Here is a 19,015-nt window from a genome sequence, read left to right on the forward strand (position 1 = left end):
TGAGCATGGAATGTTCTTCCGTTTGTTTGTATCCTCTTTTATTTCTTTGAGCAGTGGTTTGTAGTTCTCCTTGAAGAGGTCCTTCACATCCCTTGTAAGTTGGATTCCTAGGTATTTTCTTCTCTTTGAAGCAATTGTGAATGGAATTTCACTCATGATTTGGCTCTCTGTTTGTCTGTTATTGGTGTATAAGAATGCTTGTGATTTTTGCACCTTGATTTTGTATCCTGAGGCTTTGCTGAAGTTGCTTATCAGCATAAGAAGATTTTGGGCTGAGACGATGGGGTTTTCTAGATGTACAATCATGTCATCTGCAAACAGGGTCAATTTGACTTCCTCTTTTCCTAATTGAATACCCTTTATTTCTTTCTCTTGCCTGATTGCCCTGGCCAGAACTTCCAACATTATGTTGAATAGGAGTGGTGAGAGAGGGCATCCCTGTCTTGTGCCAGTTTTCAAAGGGAATGCTTCCAGTTTTTGTCCATTCAGTATGATATTGGCTGTGAGTTTGTCATAAACAACTCTTATCATTTTGAGATACATCCCATCAATATCTAATATATTGAGAGTTTTTAGCATGAAGCGCTGTTGAATTTTGTCAAAGGCCTTTTCTGCATCTATTGAGATAATCATGTGGTTTTTATCTTTGGTCCTGTTTATATGCTGGATTACTTTTATTGATTTGCGTATGTTAAACCAGCCTTGCATCCCAGGGATGAAGCCAACTTCATTGTGGTGGATAAGCTTTTTGATGTGCTGCTGGATTTGGTTTGCCAGGATTTTATTTTGGATTTTTGCATCGACGTTCATCAGGGATATTGGTCTGAAATTCTCTTTTTTGATTTTGTCTCTGCCAGGCTTTGGTATCAGGATGGTGCTGGCCTCATAAAATGAGTTAGGGAGGATTCCCCCTTTTTCTACTGATCGGAATAGTTTCAGAAGGAATGGTACCAGCTCCTCCTTGTACCTCTGGTAGAATTCGGCTGTGAATCCATCTGGTCCTGGACTTTTTTTGGTTGGTAAGCTATTATTTACTGCCTCAATTTCAGAGCCTGTTATTGGTCTATTTAGCCATTCAACTTCTTCCTGGTTTAGTCTTCGGAGGGTGTATGTGTCGAAGAATTTATCCATTTCTCCTAGATTTTCGAGTTTATTTGCATAGAGATGTTCATAGTATTCTCTGATGGTAGTTTGTATTTCTGTGGGATCGGCAGTGATATCCCCTTTATCATTTTTTATTGTGTCTATTTGATTCTTCTCTCTTTTCTTCTTTATTAGTCTTGCTAGCGGTCTATCCATTTTGTTGATCTTTTCAAAAAACCAGCTCCTGGATTCATTGATATTTCGAAGGGTTTTTTGTGTCTCTATCTCCTTCAGTTCTGCTCTGATCTCAGTTATTTCTTGGCTTCTGCTAGCTTTTGAATGTGTTTGCTCTTGCTTCTCTAGTTCTTTTAATTGTGATGTTAGGATGTCAATTTTAGATCTTTCCTGCTTTCTCTTGTGGGCATTTAGTGCTATAAATTTCCCTCTACACAATGCTTTGAATGTGTCCCAGAGATTCTGGTATGTTGTGTCTTTGTTCTCATTGGTTTCAAAGAACATCTTTATTTCTGCCTTCATTTTGTTATGTACCCGGTAGTCATTCAGGAACAGGTTGTTCGTTTTCCATGTAGTTGAGTGGTTTTGAGTGAGTTTCTTAATCCTGAGTTCTAGTTTGATTGCACTGTGGTCTGAGAGACAATTTGTTATAATTTCTGTTATTTTACATTTGCTGAAGAGAGCTTTACTTCCAACTATGTGGTCAATTTTGGAATAGGTGTGATGTGGTGCTGAGAAGAATGTATATTCTGTTGATTTGGGGTGGAGAGTTCTGTAGATGTCTGTTAGGTCCGCTTGGTGCAGAGCTGAGTTCAAGATCTCTTCAATATTTGCTTTCTCATTTTGTTAGAGGCTGTCAGTTCTTGGGCCAATCCTAATGTGGTATGATGATTTTGAGTAATCAGAGTGTAATGAATCCTTCCTAATTCTAGTTTCAGCCATTGAATAATGAAATTTGGAATTAAAATAAAATGCTTACTAATGATTTATCATAATTATGAATTAAAATATTACAGGTGAATCTGGGCCTTGATATTTTTAAAGTTATAAATATATTTGAAACCTTACTTGAAGATTAGAGGTTTATCATTTATTTTTAAATAATCTATCAGAGAAATATATAGGAAGTTCTCCTAACTGACTTGTGGTAGAGTTAGGGGTCATAAGAGTAAAGCAAAAGAATTTGAAGGATAAATAGAAGTTAGGAAGGAAAAGTTGAGAAAATATATGAGCTATTGGGAGATAGTAGTAAACAGTGAGTGAAAGATTACATAGGCAGTAATAGACCAGGTATAAGGAATCACTCCAACGAAGGCTTAGTAGTGACTGGGGTTAGGGTAAGATTGAGAGTTAGATGAGATTATGTTAGAGATGAAAATATGCCAGGTCTTGAAGGACTAGTTTAAAATATTATCCCAAAGGAGTGGGGGTTGAAAAATTACCCACCGGGTACAATGTCTAATATTTCAGTAATAGGGTACACTAGAAGCCCATCCCCCACCGTTATGCATATATTATCCATGTAACAAACACATGTACCCCAGAATCTAAAATAAAAATGTTTTAATAAAATTTAAAAATATAAAAAGTTATTCCATGTCAACTTTTTTACATGATTAGCCAAGGAAAAATTTGAAGCATTAGAGTAACATTGTCTTCACATGAATGGTTGGGAGGAGAATTTCAACAATTATTGTTCAGATAATTAAACCTCAAATAACTTTTGCTGAATGACTTGGGTAATTTAGATATGTGTGTCTGTGCTTCCTTATTCTGAATGATACCACTTTTATACCATTTTGGTGTGCTTATACAGCTTTGAGTGCTTAAATAGTATTACATTTTATAACCAGAATTAAGGAAACAGAATGTTAGGCCTAGGAAGTGCCTTCAAAACTATTTAATTCAAACTTTCTGTTTTCCAGTTGTGAATATGTGGGATTATTGAGGTTAAATTACCTGTCTAATTTCATATAGCTATTAAACAGCAGAGTCAGGATTTGAACCAGTTTGTCCATTTCTGAAGCTCATGCTCTTAACTAATATCATTCTACAAAATAAAATCAATAAGTACCTTAGACATGATTTTTCAAACTGTTTTATTAATATATTTTTTACTTAGGGTTTAAAACCTACTATGTAGACATAATAATTTAGAAGGTCGTAAACTGCAGCACCCATAACTTCTGCAGAATATAGTGATTACTAAAAAGGCCATAGATTGCAATCTACCCATCTGACAAGGGCTAATACCCAGAATCTACAAAGAACTAAACAAATTTACAAGAAAAAAATCAAACAACCCCATCAGAAGGTGGGCAATGGATATGAACAGACACTTCTCAAAAGAAGGCATTTATGCAGCCAACAGACACATGAAAAAATGCTCATCATCACTGGCCATCAGAGAAATGCAAATCAAAACCACAATGAGATACCATCTCACACCAGTTAGAATGGTGATCATTAAAAAGCCAGGAAACAACAGGTGCTGGAGAGGATGTGGAGAAATAGGAACACTTTTACACTGTTGCTGGGACTGTAAACTAGTTCAACCATTGTGGGAGACAGTGTGGCGATTCCTCAAGGATCTAGAACTAGAAATACCATTTGACCCAGCCATCCCATTACTGGGTATATACCCAAAGGATTATAAATCATGCTACTTTAAAGACACACGCACACGTATGTTTATTGTGGCAGTATTCACAATAGCAAAGACTTGGAACCAACCCAAATGTCCATCAATGATAGACTGGATTAAGAAAATGTGGCACATATACACCATGGAATACTATGCAGCCATAAAAAATGATGAGTTCATGTCCTTTGTAGGGACATGGATGAAGCTGGAAACCATCATTCTGAGCAAACTATCGCAAGGACAGAAAGCCAAACACCACATGTTCTCACTCATAAGTGGGAATTGAACAATGAGAACACTTGGACACAGGGTGGGGAACATCACACACCAGGGCCTGTCGTGGGGTGGGGGGAGGGAGGAGGGATAGCATTGGGAGAAATACCTCATGTAAATGGTGAGTTAATGGGTGCAGCACACCAACATGGCACATGCATACATATGTAGGAAACCAGCACGTTGTGCACATGTACCCTAGAACTTAACATGTAATTTTTTTAAAAAAGGCCATAGATAATGGTAAATTGCTCATTTAGATGCATGTATAAGGGTTATTTTCCGTTTACTAGAAAGGGAGTAAAAGAAGCCTAAAGGATTACATGTTGTTACGGGAATTTACATCAAGATCAAATTCCATGGGAAGTCTTTATGTAGATTTAGAATATAAAGGATTTATAGAATGTATGTAGGGTTTAGGCCAATAAACCAAGTTTCTGAAAACTTTATATAAAGAACTATTATAAGTAAAACAAACAAAGTATAAAGTATGTTTTCAGCATGTAGAAATATTAAATTTAAAATCTTCTATCCTGCTAGGAGACTAGACCTTAAGTTAACACTAAAATATTATGAAAATTGATGACTGCTGCCATTTAAATTCTGTGTTACTATTAGGGTAGATGGTATTGAGGTGACAGTTCATAACCATTCTAAACAGTCTAAGTGATTACAAGTTAAATAAAGTTATATTTTATCATGTAATGAGTCTGTGTATGATGACTTTTAACAGAACCCTTTTTTGTGGGAGCTTTAAATTTCTCCTGTCAGTCGAACTAGAATTATTTTAAAAAGAAAGAGGAGGAGAATTTCAGAGTCCTGGATTAGTGCAAATTTAGTTTGGTTTCATTCCCATGTCAACTAGGATAACTCAAGGACCAGATTCTCAGTTTATGTTGATTTTGTTCCCTTTTGTGTGTATGTCCTTTTTATTTTAAGTGTGACCTTTTAACATTGGCTGTAATCTGAGATTTTTTTTTCTTAACATATTACTTATTGCCAACATTGGTAGGGAGTGCCATCTCCACTATGCTTTTAGTCATATCTTTATATTTTTATGCTTCCATATGTCAGTTTATTCATGTGTTTATCATTCACTCAACAAATATTTATTAGGACCAGGTGCTCATTTAGACAGGATCAGTAGAAAGGAGTCTCATAAAGTTTTTTTTTTTTTTTTTTTGAGACAATTTTCGCTCTTATTGCTCTGGCTGGAGTGCAGTGGTGTGATCTTGGCTCACTGCAACCTCCACCTCCTGGATTCAAGCGATTCTCCTGCCCCAGCCTCCCAAGTGGCTGGGATTACAGGCACCTATCACCTAATTTTGTATTTTTAGTAGAAACAGGGTTTTGCCATGTTGGCCAGGTTGGCCTCGAACTCCTGACCTCAGGTGATCTGCCTGCCTTGGCCTCCCAAAGTGCTGGGATTACAGGCATGAGCCACTGCTCCTGGCCTCATAAAGTTTTTAAAAGAACATCAAGGGAATATACTTAAAAGTTTCACTAAAATAAGATAAAATTATCCCAGTTCCTTGTGGACACTGTATTCATGTTATCCTGATGTAACAGCTTTTTCTCATGTGACATTCTAGATCATGAACGTGAGATTGATTATGTGTGGGTTGGCCATGGGACCAAAAGGGAAGTAGTTGATTCATCTGTTTTCCACAGCATTTTCTCTTTAAAAGAAAATTACAACCATGTTTTTCTTTCACCAACCATGAGATTTCCTAATTGTTCACATTATTAATAATTGTTTTTATTCTTTAAAGTTCTTAATGTAGTCACCTATTTTGTGAACTCATCATGTAAAGCATATTTGTGAGTATTTTTCTCTTGTATTTATTTCATGTGCCCTGGTAAAAGAATGATATAACATGCTAGTTACCAATATGCTAGAGTATTACAGAGTTTTATGTGTAACCTATGTTCATCATCCTACTTCAGCTAATATTTTTCAGGCAGAAAAAGCAGAAAAAGCTTTTCAGTAGTATGTGGGCCGGAGTACACTGGTCCTCATGGCACAGTCCCTCATGGCTACTTCAGCTAATATTTTTCAGGCAGAAAAAGGCAGAAAAAGCTTGACTTCTGGGGTGGCAGCAACAACAATAGGGTTTGAATTAGTATTAAGCCATAAGTCTTAGCCTGATAATTTTTCTGGCTTTCGTAATATAAATTCCTTAATACTACTTGTAAGTTTAGCCTGTCTTCGGTCACTGGGAATAATTCTGCATCTGAGAACAGATACTGTAAGGAACTTAAGGTCAGGATTTCATGGCCTTAGCACTGAGTAATTCTTGGCATTACTTTGTCCTAGTACATTAATTCTAGTAATTAAACTCTTATTTTAACTTCTTTGATCAAGCGCCTTCTTATATCTATCTCTAGCAATTGAATCCTGGTGTTTTCATCTATAAATGAATCTATCCCTTATTTTCTTGCCCAAATCCTAGTCCCTCCAGCCTAAGGTTCTATTTTGAATACCAGGATTTTGCCTTTCATGGTTTCTCATGGGTAGAACTGTACAACTTGCTGGTAAGCCTCCTTGATACAAACAATAACCTAATAGCCTGATCTCCTTCCCATTGCCTTTTGTTAGACTACTTATACTGCGTGTCATACTTTGTCTACTGAATGGGACTTCTGCCATTTGTAGGCTGTGAGGTCTCTATCTGTCTTGATTATCTCTCCCTTCCTATTATTTGGAGTTCTCGTGATTGGCATCGCTGCTTCAAAGGTCTTTCTAATCTCTGGATCTCTGCAAACTGACTCTTAATGGTGTAACCCAACGTAGTCTAACTGAGTCTGTTTTTACAGTAGCCAGCTAGAAATTCTGGAAATTCTAGAAATTCTGGAAATTCTGGAAATTGCCTAGTTCTGGAAGTCCAACAAACCAAGCAAACTCAGTGAATACAACTCATGTTGTGTTTAGACGCAGAAACATTTAGAAGCACATTTATTTAATTCAAATTTGTATATTGGTACATAAGGGAGACAGAAAATTGTAAAAGTACATAACTAAAAGCTGTTATGCATTTCTTTTTTATTTTTTAGTTGTTTTTGAAGAACTTACATCCAAACAGACAAGAAAAGGATAAAAGCACCATTGGTTCATGGCAAGTTATTACATTTTAAGTGATTAACTGTAAGTGCACTTCATCTCCTGCACTAGTCATGTTTTTGACTTCCCCAAATTATGGAAAGTGTGACATGCTTCATTAACATAATACTTAACATTACAAATAGGAAAAGATGGGCTTCTTTAGCAAAACAATACAGTAAGAGGGCCCTTTTCTCAATGAATGATAGGCTAACACAACAGAGATCTTTCAGTTAAAGCAGAATCTTAAGTAAGGTACATAGCTAATGTAAGGTACATTTTAAGTAAGGTACCTTAGCTGTATACATTACTTAAGAATATCACAGAGGTGGCTGGCAAGATGGCAGCATAGGAACAGCTCCAGTCTGCAGCTCCCAGTGAGATCAACACAGAAGGTGGGTGATTTCTGCATTTCCAACTGAGATACCCAGCTCATCTCATTGGGACTGGTTAGACAGTGGGTGCAGCCAACAGAGGGCCAGCCAAAGCAGGGTGGGGCGTTGCCTCACCTGGGAAGCGCAAGGGGTCAGGCAACTCCCTCCCCTAGCCAAAGGAAGCCATGAGGGACTGTGCCATGAGGACCAGTGCACTCCGGCCCCCATACTACACTTTTCCCACAGTCTTCGCAACCCGCAAACCAGGAGATTCCCTCAGGTGTCTCTGCCACCAGGGCCCTCACAGTGTAAACAAAGCCACCAGGAAGTTCAAACTGGGCAGAGCCCACCGCAGCTCAGCAAAGTCGCTGTAGCCAGACTACCTCTCTAGATTCCTCCTCTCTAGGCAGGGAATCTCTGAAAGAAAGGCAGCAGCGGCCAGGCACGGTGGCTCACACCTGTAATCCCAGCACTTTGGGAGGCCAAGGCCAGCGGATCATGAGGTCAGCAGATCGAGACCATCCTGGCTAACACAGTGAAACCCTGTCTCTACTAAAAATACAAAAAATTAGCTGGGCGTGGTGGTGGGCGCCTGTAGTCCCAGCTACTTGGGAGGCTGAGGCAGGAGAATGGTGTGACATCTGGGAGGCGGAGCTTGCAGTGAGCCGAGATGCACCACTGCACTCCAGCCTGGGTGAGAGAGCAAGACTCTGTCTCAAAAAAAAAAAAAAAAGGGCAGCAGCCCCAGTCAGGGGCTTATAGGTAAAACTCCCATCTGCCTGGGGCAGAGCACCTGGGGGAAGGGACGGCTGTCGGCGCAGCTTTGATAGACTTAAATGTTCCTGCCTGCCAACTCTGAAGAGAGAAGTGGATCTCCCAGCACAGCACTCGAGCTCTGCTAAGGGACAGACTGCCTCCTCAAGTGGGTCCCTGACCCCCATGCCTCCTGACTGGGAGACACCTCCCAGCAGGGGTCAACAGACATTTCATATAGGAGAGCTCCGGCTGGCATCTGGCGGATGCCCTTCTGGGAGGAAGCTTCTAGAGGAAGGAACAGGCAGCAATCTTTGCTGTTCTGCAGCCTCTGCTGGTAATACCCAGGCAAACAGGATCTGGAGTGGACCTCCAGCAAACTCGAGCAGACCTGCAGCTGCGGAGACTGAACGTTAGAAGGAAAACTAACAAACAGAAAGGAATAGCGTCAACTTCAACAAAAAGGACGTCCACACAGAAACCTCATCTGAAGGTCACCAATATCAAGGACCAAAGGTAGATAAATCCATGAAGATGAGGAAAAACCAGCGCAAAAAGGCTGAAAGTTCCAAAAACCAGAACACCTCTTCTCCTCCAAAGGATCACAACTCCTTGCCAGCAAGGGAACAAAACTGGACAGAGCATGAGTTTGACAAATTGACAGAAGTAGGCTTCAGAAGGTGGGTAATAACAAACTCCTTTGAGCTAAAGGAGCGTGTTCTAATCCAATGCAAGGAAGCTAAGAACCTTGAAAAAAGGTTAGAGGAATTGCTAACTAGAATAACCAGTTTAGAGAAGAACAGAAATGACCTGATGGATCTGAAAAACACAGCACAAGAACTTTGTGAAGCATACACAAGTATCAATAGCCGAATTGATCAAGCAGAAGAAAAGATATCAGAGATTGAAGATCAACTTAATGAAATAAAGCATGAAGACAAGATTAGAGAAAAAAGAACGAAAAGGAACAAACAAACCCTCCAAGAAATATGGGACTATGTGAAAAGACCAAACCTACATTTGATTGGTGTACCTGAAAGTGACAGGGAGAATGGAACCAAGTTGGAAAACACTCTTCAGGATATTATCCATGGAGAACTTCCCCAATCTAGCAAGGCAGGCCAATATTCAAATTCAGGAAATACAGAGAACGCCACAGAGATACTCCTCGAGAAGAGCAACTCCAAGACACATAATTGTCAGATTCACCAAAGTTGAAATGAAGGAAAAAATGTTAAGGGCAGCCAGAGAGAAAGGTTGGGTTACCCACAAAGGGAAGCCCATCAGACTAACAGCTGATCTCTCAGCAGAAACTCTACAAACCAGAAGAGAGTGGAGGCCAATATTCAACATTCTTAAAGAAAAGAATTTTCAATCCAGAATTTCATATCCAGCCAAATTAAGCTTCATAAGTGAAGGAGAAATAAAATTCTTTACAGAGAAGCAAATGCTGAGAGATTTTGTCACCACTAGGCCTGCCTTACAAAAGCTTCTGAAGGAAGCACTAAACATGGAAGGGAGCAACCGGTACCAGCCACTGCAAAAACATGCCAAATTGTAAAGACCATCGATGCTATGAAGAAACTGCATCAACTAACAGGCAAAATAACCAGCTAACATCACAAAGACAGGATCAAATTCACACATAACAATATTAACCTTAAATGTAAATGGGCTAAATGCTCCAATTAAAAGACACAGACTGGCAAATTGGAGGCATCACACTACCTGACTTCAAACTATACTACAAGGCTACAGTAACCAAAACAGCATGGTACTGGTACCAAAACAGATATGTAGACCAGTGGAACAGAACAGATGCCTCAGAAATAACACCACACATCTGCAACCATCTAATCTTTGACAAACCTGACAAAAACAAGCAATGGGGAAAGGATTCCCTATTTAATAAATGGTGTTGGTAAAACTGGCTAGCCATATACAGAAAACTGAAACTGGACCCCTTCCTTACACCTTATACAAAAATATACAAAAATTAACTCAAGATGGATTAAAGACTTAAATGTAAGACCTAAAACCATGAAAACTCTAGAAAGAAACCTAGGCAATACCATTCAGGACACAGGCATGGGCAAGGACTTCATGTCTAAAACACCAAAAGCAATGGCAACAAAAGCCAAAATTGACAAATGGGATCTAATTAAACTAAAGAGCTTCTGCACAGCAAAAGAAACTATCATCAGAGTGAACAGGCAACCTACAGAATGAGAGAAAAATTTTGCGCTCTATCCATCTGACAAAGGGCTAATATCCAGAATCTACAAAGAACTCAAACAAATTTACAAGAAAAAAACAACTCCATCAAAAAGTGGGCAAAGGATGTAAACAGACACTTTTCAAAAAAAGACATTTATGCAGCCAACAAACAGATGAAAAAAAGCTCATCATCACTGGTCATTAGAGAAATGCAAATCAAAACCACAATGAGATACCATCTCAAGCCAGTTAGAATGGCGATCATTAAAAAGTCAGGAAACATCAGATGCTGGAGAGGATGTGCAGAAATAGGAACGCTTTTACACTGTTGGTGGGAGTGTAAATTAGTTCAACCATTGTGGAAGACAGTGTGGTGATTCCTCAAGGATCTAGAACCAGAAATACCATTTAACCCAGCAATCCCATTATTGGGTGTATACTCAAAGGATTATAAATCATTCTACTATAAATACATGTGCACACATATGCTTATTGTAGCACTGTTCACAATAGCAAAGAGTTGGAACCGACCCAAATGCTCATCAATGATAGACTGGATAAAGAAAATGTGGCACATACACCATGGAATACTATGTGGCCATAAAAAAGGAACAGTTCACGTCCTTTGCAGGGACTTGAGTGAAACTGGAAACCATCATTCTCAGCAAACTAACACAGGAACAGAAAACCAAACACCACATGTTCTCACTTGTAAGTGGGAGTTGAACAGTGAGAACACATAGACACAGGGAGGGGAACATCACACACCAGGGCCTGTTTGGGGATGGGGGTGCTAGGAGAGGGATAGCATTAGGAGAAATTCCTAATGTAATGATGGGTTGATGGGTGTGGCCAGTGTATACCTATGTAACAAACCTGCACATTCTGCACATGTATCTCAGAACTTAAAGTATAATTAAAAAAAAGTAAATATCACAAATAAGGCCTGATATGGTGGCTCATGCCTGCCTGTAATCCCTGTGCTTTGGGAGGCCGAGGTGGGAGCATCACTTGAGGCCAAGAATTTGAGACCAGCCTGGGGAACATAGTGAGACCCCCATGTCTAAAAAAAAAATTATTTTGAATTAGCTGAGCATGTTGCTGTGTACCTGTAGTCCTAGCCACTCAGGAGATGAGGCAGGAGGATCACTTGAGCCCAGGACTTTGAGGCAATAGTGAGCTGTGATCAGGCCATTGCACTTCAGCCTGAGTGACAGAACAAGGGTCTTTGTTTTTGTTTTGTTTTGTTTGAGATGGAGTTTCACTCTTGTTGCCCAGGCTGGAGTACAATGGCATGATCTCGGCTCACTGCATCCTCTGCCTCCCAGTTTCAAGTGATGCTCCTGCCTCAGCCTCCCGAGTAGCTAAGATTACAGGTGCATGCCACCACAGCCAGCTAATTTTGTGCTTTTAGTAGAGATGGGGTTTATCCATGTTGGTCAGGCTGGTCTAGAATTCCTGACCTGAGGTGGTCCACCCGCCTCAGCGTCCCAAAGTCCTGGGATTATAGGCGGACTCTCTAAAAAAAAAAAAAAAAAAAAAAAAAAGGTATTACAAATAGTTCCTTTTTTAAGTTCATTAAGCATAAATTTAGCTGCCTTACAGCACAGCATCTGAATAAACTGAAGTACTTTTTAGGTCAAGTGATTTTGTTTATAATTTGGCTTTAGTAAAAGCTAATGAAAGGAATTCATTTCTTAAAGTGAAACTCATATTTCTGATTTTTACATTTCCTTTCTCAGAGAAGGAATGCAATGGTTTGAATGTTTATCCCCTCTAAAACTGATGTTGGAACTTAATCCCCAATGTTGCAGTATTGAGAGGAGGGACTTTTAAGAGGTGATTAGGTCATGCGGGCTTTGCGCTCATGAATGGATTAATCCATTTATGGATTAATGGATTAATGGGTTATTTTGGGAGTGGGACTGTTAGCTTTATAAGAAGAAGAAGAGAAGACTTGAACTAGCAAGCTCAGCCCCCTCACCATGTGATGCCCTGCACTGGTGCAGGACTCTGCAGAAAGTCCCTACCAGCAACAAGGTCCTCATGAGATGCTGTCCTCAACCTTGTACTTCTTAGCCTCCGTATCTGTAAGAAATAGCCTCTCTTTCTGTATAAGTTACCCAGTGTCAGGTATTCTGTTATAAGCAACAGAAAACAGATGAAGAGCTTATTTATTTTGTTTCTGTTAAATTAAGTTTAGCCTAAAGCTGCTTTCTTACATATTTTTAAGTTTGGCCTAAAGGTTTCTCCATTCATAATGAACTGTAATCTCATTGCATGTATAAACAGACTGTAACCCACTTGTGTAACAAGTAGCCCAGTCTCAGGCAATCCCAGCAGGCATACTTCAACCACTCCTAGGTGGACAGCCATTCAAACTGTGTTCAAATAAGGCAAATGGTCAACCGTTAACCAATCCAGCTGTTTCTGTAACTCATTTTTATTTTCTGCATGTCACTTTCCTTTTTCTGTCCATAAATCCTCTTCAACCACTCAGCAGCACCAGCGCTGCTCTGAACCTATTCTGGTTTGGGGAAGAGAGTGGTGGGAGTCTGCCCAATTTGTGAATCATTGCTCAATTAAACTCTGTTAAATGTAATTTGTCTAAAGTTTTTCATTTATCATTTCCATACAGGTAAAACCAAACTGTAATTGAAGTGTATCCCCAGAAAGCTATGGGACCTCTTATAACTAATGATAGTCACCCCAGTCACCCCAGGATTTTATCGGCTTATCAATTTGTACAACATAGATAATAAATTAATGATAAAGTATAATTCATGTAATGATTCTATTTGACTTCACTAGAAACCATATTTATTTGCCAATTCATTTTCGAGGTGACAGTTGGTTAAGTCACATTCATATTGTCTGTCAGCTCATAACTATAAATTTTATAAATTAATTGGCAGACATACTCTGTATATGGTTCCAAAATATGGCTTTTGCTTAATAATTTGTAGAAGACTATTTAGAATGTATAAGGAGCTGGTAAATATATTTGGATAAAAGGGCTTTCTTAAAAAAAAAAATCTAATCTCATTTTCTCCAATGCACTTTCTTCAGTGCTGCCAGAGTGATCCTCTAATGTAGAAATCCAATTATGTCATTCAATGGTTACCTTTTGTCTGTGTTAAGTATTTACTCTAATATAAACAAAAATTTCTTTGATTTTTGCCCCATCTTATACTCTAGCCTTATTTCCTACCATTTTTCCTACCTTTTCCTAACCAAATCATTCTGCTGCATTGCCTTTAACACTCCATTGTCTTTGAAAGCTTGAGAATATTTATAAAAAAATAATATTTAAAAGATAGCTTTATATGTTAGGATAACCAGCTACGGGTATATTTACTCTCTGAAATGAAAAATGTAAAAATAATAAGGTGATCTCAACTCATGTCTAGTGATTTGTAATGGGAGTCAGTTACTAGGGATAGTAGTCAAAACTTTGGTGATTATAATCAGGAACATGAGCTCCAGCCACAGAATGTACAGCAAAGAGCCAAGGGCTGAGATTTTGGGAATGCCCACTATTGAATTGTAGAAGAAAAATAATGTTGTGTAAGTTAGAGTTCTTGGCTGAAAATAGCCAAGACTAGCTTGATTTTAAACAAAAAACAAAAAACACCCACTACAACATATCAGAAAGATTTTAAGTGACTCAATCAGTGTTAAAGTTTGAGGAGCTAGATTGGGAAGAAAACAAAGGATGAAGCATAGCTATAATTCTGCACAGGACTAGTTACTATGGGTACGACCACTAGTGGCATTGTCAGTGGATACTCAGCCTTTCTCATTGACCCTTCTGCCACTAGAAACTCCTTCTATGCCTCTGGAATCTTAATAATTAAAATGGTGGGGTGATATTTCTGATCCATGGGGGGAAAGATGGATTATTCAATAAATGATGTTGGGATTACTGGATAGCCATCTAGAGAAAAAAAATTTAATTGAAATTGATAAATGAATTTCTATTCCATACTATAAATTCCATACAGATAGTTTCAGACATTTAGTGAAACCATACAAGCACAAGGAAAACATGAATATACATCTAAAAATATATATGCTTAGAATGCAGAAGATGCTTAGTTATGACACAAAACTCTAAAGCCATAACAAGAAAGATTGATAAATTTGATTGCAGTAAAATAATTAAAGCACAAAAAAAAGATCCCTAAAATTTAAAGTAAAATGAAACAATGTATCTGTTTGGTGACATCATCACACAAAAAAGAAGTATTCCAAGTGATTTGAAAACACAGCAATTATACTGTACATCCCTAGTGACATGTACCCTACAGAAAAAGATCTGAAAAAAGAAACTTTAAAAACTGTTTCCAGTAATAATTATTGGCGGTTATGTTGATGGTGTTATTTTGAGTCTGTTATGTGTGTATTGTGGGATTTTATAAAACAAGCAAATAAGTAGTATCCTAATTCTGTCATTCCTGCTCCGTTTGAGAACCAGTCATGGGAGAAAGGAAATATAAATACAAGATGGTGTTAAATTAAAATCCTATAGTACTGAATTTGAATTAGAAGTATTGGTGGAACTCATGATGAGTTTTCTACTTAAAAATAAAACAATGAAATGCCTACTTCTATCAAATGAAAAAGCTTAGAGACAAAGATCAACCCAATAGGAATTAGCATCCTTATTGCCCAGATGATGGTATTGAAATGCTATTTTCTGCCAAAAACAACCAGGAATTTTTGAAGAAATGGTTGATTCCAGGTCTAGACAGGGCAGATAACAAGGATATATACATAGAACATTCTAGATGGATACAGATAAACTGACAGTGATGATGAATGTTTGTAGAGAGGAGAATTGAGGGCTGGGTGTTGAAGTAAGTAGTATACTTTTCACATTACACTCCTTTGCCTTTTTAAATATTATGCATTGTCTTCAGAATGATAAAACAAAATCATTAAAAATTATGTGGAAAGTTAAATTCTTGCTCATTGTTATAGTCTGTGCCTGAAAGAGCATATTACTTGGGGATGGAGTTGACAGGATTTACCCATATAATGTGATGGCAAAACATTGTACTGTCATATGTATTTTTTAAATGATAGTTATTAACTTCTACATTGAATCTACAGAAAAGATCATTGCCTTCTAATGGGTTATCACCTGAGTAGTAAAAGAAAAACATGCAGTTTGGTAGTTCAGAGTCAACTGAAACATTTGGATAATTCATTATGAGACTTTATGAATCAAATGAATAATAACTAAAATTTATTTTACCAGATCTTCAAGTGGTATTTTTAGAAACATAGAAGTAATGTCCTATTTCTGAAGTCAGGGAGTAGACTGGTTCCTTTACTTAAGCATTCATTTATTCAGTAAATATTTGCTATTTTTGACACAATGGAAATAATTGCGACAAGACGGCCATGACCCCTGTATTCATATGTATCTTACACTCTGGTGGGAAAAACAGATAACGATATAAATAAATAGATAAAAACACCTAGAAATTATGGAACTGCTGTAAATGAAATAAATAAGGAATTTATGGAGAATGTCAGTAGTAATGGGACAAATTTACTAAAATATGTGAATATTCTAGAAGGCTTCTCTAAGTAGTAATAGTTAAGCTGAGGCTAAAGGGTGGAAGGAGTAGCTTTTTAAAAACTAGAGGTAAAGCATTATAAGACAGACAACCAGCCTTCATAGAAAAAAAAAAAACAGATTTTTGAAGGATTTTTAAAAGATCAGTTAATCTGTATTAGTTGGTGAAGTCCAAAATTTATGGTTGCAGCATCTGGGCATTACGTTGATGCCATTTACTGAAGTACAGAAATACTAGGTTAGAGGAAAAGATTGGAAAGGAAAATCAAGAGTTCTATTTTAGATATTTTAAATTTGAAATATCTGTGAGACATCCAAGTAGGGGTGTTGAACACATTTCAAATTATGAAATATAAAATTGGAAGTTGTCAGCAAAAAAGATCATAGATTACTTATAGGGAAGAGAGAGGAATTTACAGTACATTAGCCACAAGGATCATATGGCTATTTAATTAAAATTACATAAAGTTTAAAATTTAGTTCTTAGTCACGCTACCTATTTTCAAGTGCTCAGTAGATTCATGTGGCTAGTGGCACTCACACTGAATTTCAGCACTTGTGAGAAACATTATTGTACAAAGTTCAGTGCTTGTTTAGAAAGACAGCACTGGTCAGGAAAGAGGTTATTGATCTAGATCCTGTTCAGTTTCTTTGTAACTCTTGGCTTCAAAGATAAGAACATTCCTTTCTTTTGGATATCGGGAGGATCCTCTGGAATAAGAGTCTTATGACCTACTTCAGAGGAAAATTAGAGCATTTTTTCATGGACTGCTTCAGCGGAGTAAGGTGGGAGAAGATCAATGTGACCTTCTTACTTCTGCTATTTCTTCCAGTGTCAAGGTGCCATACTTTAGGTAGCATGTTCTAAACCTCATCGGGGGTAAAGGCAGAGGAGAGCTGGAAAGTATCCATTGGATTTGCCACTATGCACTTTATTGGTGATGGAGTGGTAGAGGTAGAAACTAGATTTGACTGGGTTTAAGAGTGTGTAGTAAGTGAAGAAATGGAGATAGCCTTTGGCAGGTCTTTGGAGAAGCTTGGTTATGAAGGGAAGCAAAGAAATGGATTTTCTGAAGGGATATAGAAGTAAGGGCTTTATAAATTTACATATGTATGCATGCTTATATATGTTGCTAAATTGTAAGCTTGAAAGCGCAAACTATAGTCTCATTGATTCATCTTTGAATCTTCTGGCACTTAGACATTCAACAATAATGCATGTCTGTTGAACAAGTCAGTCATACTTCTAACTATCTGAGAAAATAGTTTGTAATACTTTACTTTACTATTCTTGGAGTGAGATACTAATCCCCCAAACTTATATTTTCACATATGGAGATCACTGATTTGCCTTTTGATAACCTTGAGGTGTTAAGTGATAGTATACTAGACTACCTTTTACAAAAACATGTTATGTCCTGTATTTATTTTGCAGTAGAGACACTTTTTAGTCTTCAAGTGTAAAGGGAATTTGAAGTGGAGAAAAATGGTCTGATCTTTATATTTAAGAAGATAGACTTCAATGTGCTGATCAATTTTTTAAGCAGTGATATGAATACAAATAGAGCCTCAATTTTAGAGAAAACATTACTATGCAATAGATCCTCTAGTGTTTAAAAGCATATTTGATAAAAATGGGAATAAAATAAAATGACTAATTTGTCAATAACTATTATGTATATATTTTTAAGATGCAAATTTTTGAATTTCTAGTGCAGAAAAAATATACCTCTTGCTCATTTTTCTCTATAATATACAATTATAGTATTGTATTTCAAATAAAGATTTGTACTTGAAATGTTTTAGCTGCTTCTCTGTATTCTGATATCTCTAATATTCATATATTACCACTGTATATTGCATTTTTATATTTTTGCATAAATTTATTGTGTTTCACAATGAAAGGGCAAGTGTGAAGAAAATATATAAAATATATTCCATAATAAATTATATTTTATAAATTATTGCTCAATTCTAAAACTCAAATTTGGATAACTTTAATGTATTTATGATGATTCATAACCAAATATAAGGAAAACTGAATGCAGATTACTTCCTACTAAGTAGATGTAATAGCCTTCTCTCAATCTTACCTTCTTTTTTGAGAAACAGTTCTTTTTAAGGATGCTTACCAGAAAAAAACACTTTGTCTTTCATATCCAGGGATTCAGGTATGCTGCCAGCATACACCTTGGACTAAGATCAGACTTTTATACTCTATTCATTCATTGCTACTTTCCAGTTGACCGTCCAAAGAAAAATTTCTAACGTTAATAATATACGTATACTTGACATCAGACCCAAAGTTGCCAGTGGCATTGCTCGGAGTCATCCAAGTCCCTGAGCTAAGGATTTGGGGGTTCTAACTAGCTGTTTTTGGTTTTGAACATTTTGGGCCTGGATAATTATATTTTCTTCTTATAGACAGGGCTGGATCCAGGTTGTATAGTACCTGAAGTTTATACAACTTTGGATGCTATATTTGGGAAAAACAATACAAACTTATGGATACAAAATGAAGTACTAGGAACAAGTGCAAGTGATGGGTCCTCGAAGCTTAAGCTTCATTATCTTCCTGATCAATTCACTCGTCCTGTTGTAAAAGATATCATTCTCCTCATTTATAAGGTGAATTACTTGAGAACAAATAAATTTTACTAATTTAAGTAATCTCTTTAGATCATAGAGCTCCAAAAGTGGGAGAGATATTTGATCCCAAAACCCTGTCAGATTCTAAAGTCTGTACAATGTAGAATGATAGGGTAGAATAGAAGAATCTGTGGCCTTTACATGTACTGATAGAGTGCCATAAGAGTTCTGAGAGAAGAGCTATCTGTAGACCCCATAGTCATCAGGAAAGGCATTTGGGAGGTTGGGCTTGAGATTACCTTCAAAGAATAGGTTAAAATAGGGCTGGATTCATATATTCATTTAAAAAACATTTTTGAGTGATCTTGGTCTGATATAGT

The 19,015-nt window shown here is 37.3% G+C and overlaps 1 protein-coding gene across 6 annotated transcripts in view; it reads left to right on the plus strand.

The window, feature by feature from the left end:
• Positions 1–19,015, plus strand: part of PHYHIPL (phytanoyl-CoA 2-hydroxylase interacting protein like) — a 74,174-nt gene that overhangs the window by 26,088 nt on the left and 29,071 nt on the right. For 2 of the 6 annotated variants that reach the window (XM_017016783.3, XM_011540275.4), the window contains exon 2: positions 7,070–7,160. The exons of 3 other annotated variants lie outside the window; for them this stretch is intronic. The gene's annotated coding sequence lies outside the window, so the exon portion shown is untranslated. Of the gene's footprint in view, positions 1–857; positions 1,020–7,069; positions 7,161–19,015 lie in introns of those variants that run through there. One more of the 6 variants, XM_017016782.2, reaches the window with a different exon arrangement.

This window comes from Homo sapiens, chromosome 10, assembly GCF_000001405.40.
Source record: "Homo sapiens chromosome 10, GRCh38.p14 Primary Assembly".
Taxonomy (NCBI): Eukaryota; Metazoa; Chordata; class Mammalia; order Primates; family Hominidae; genus Homo; species Homo sapiens.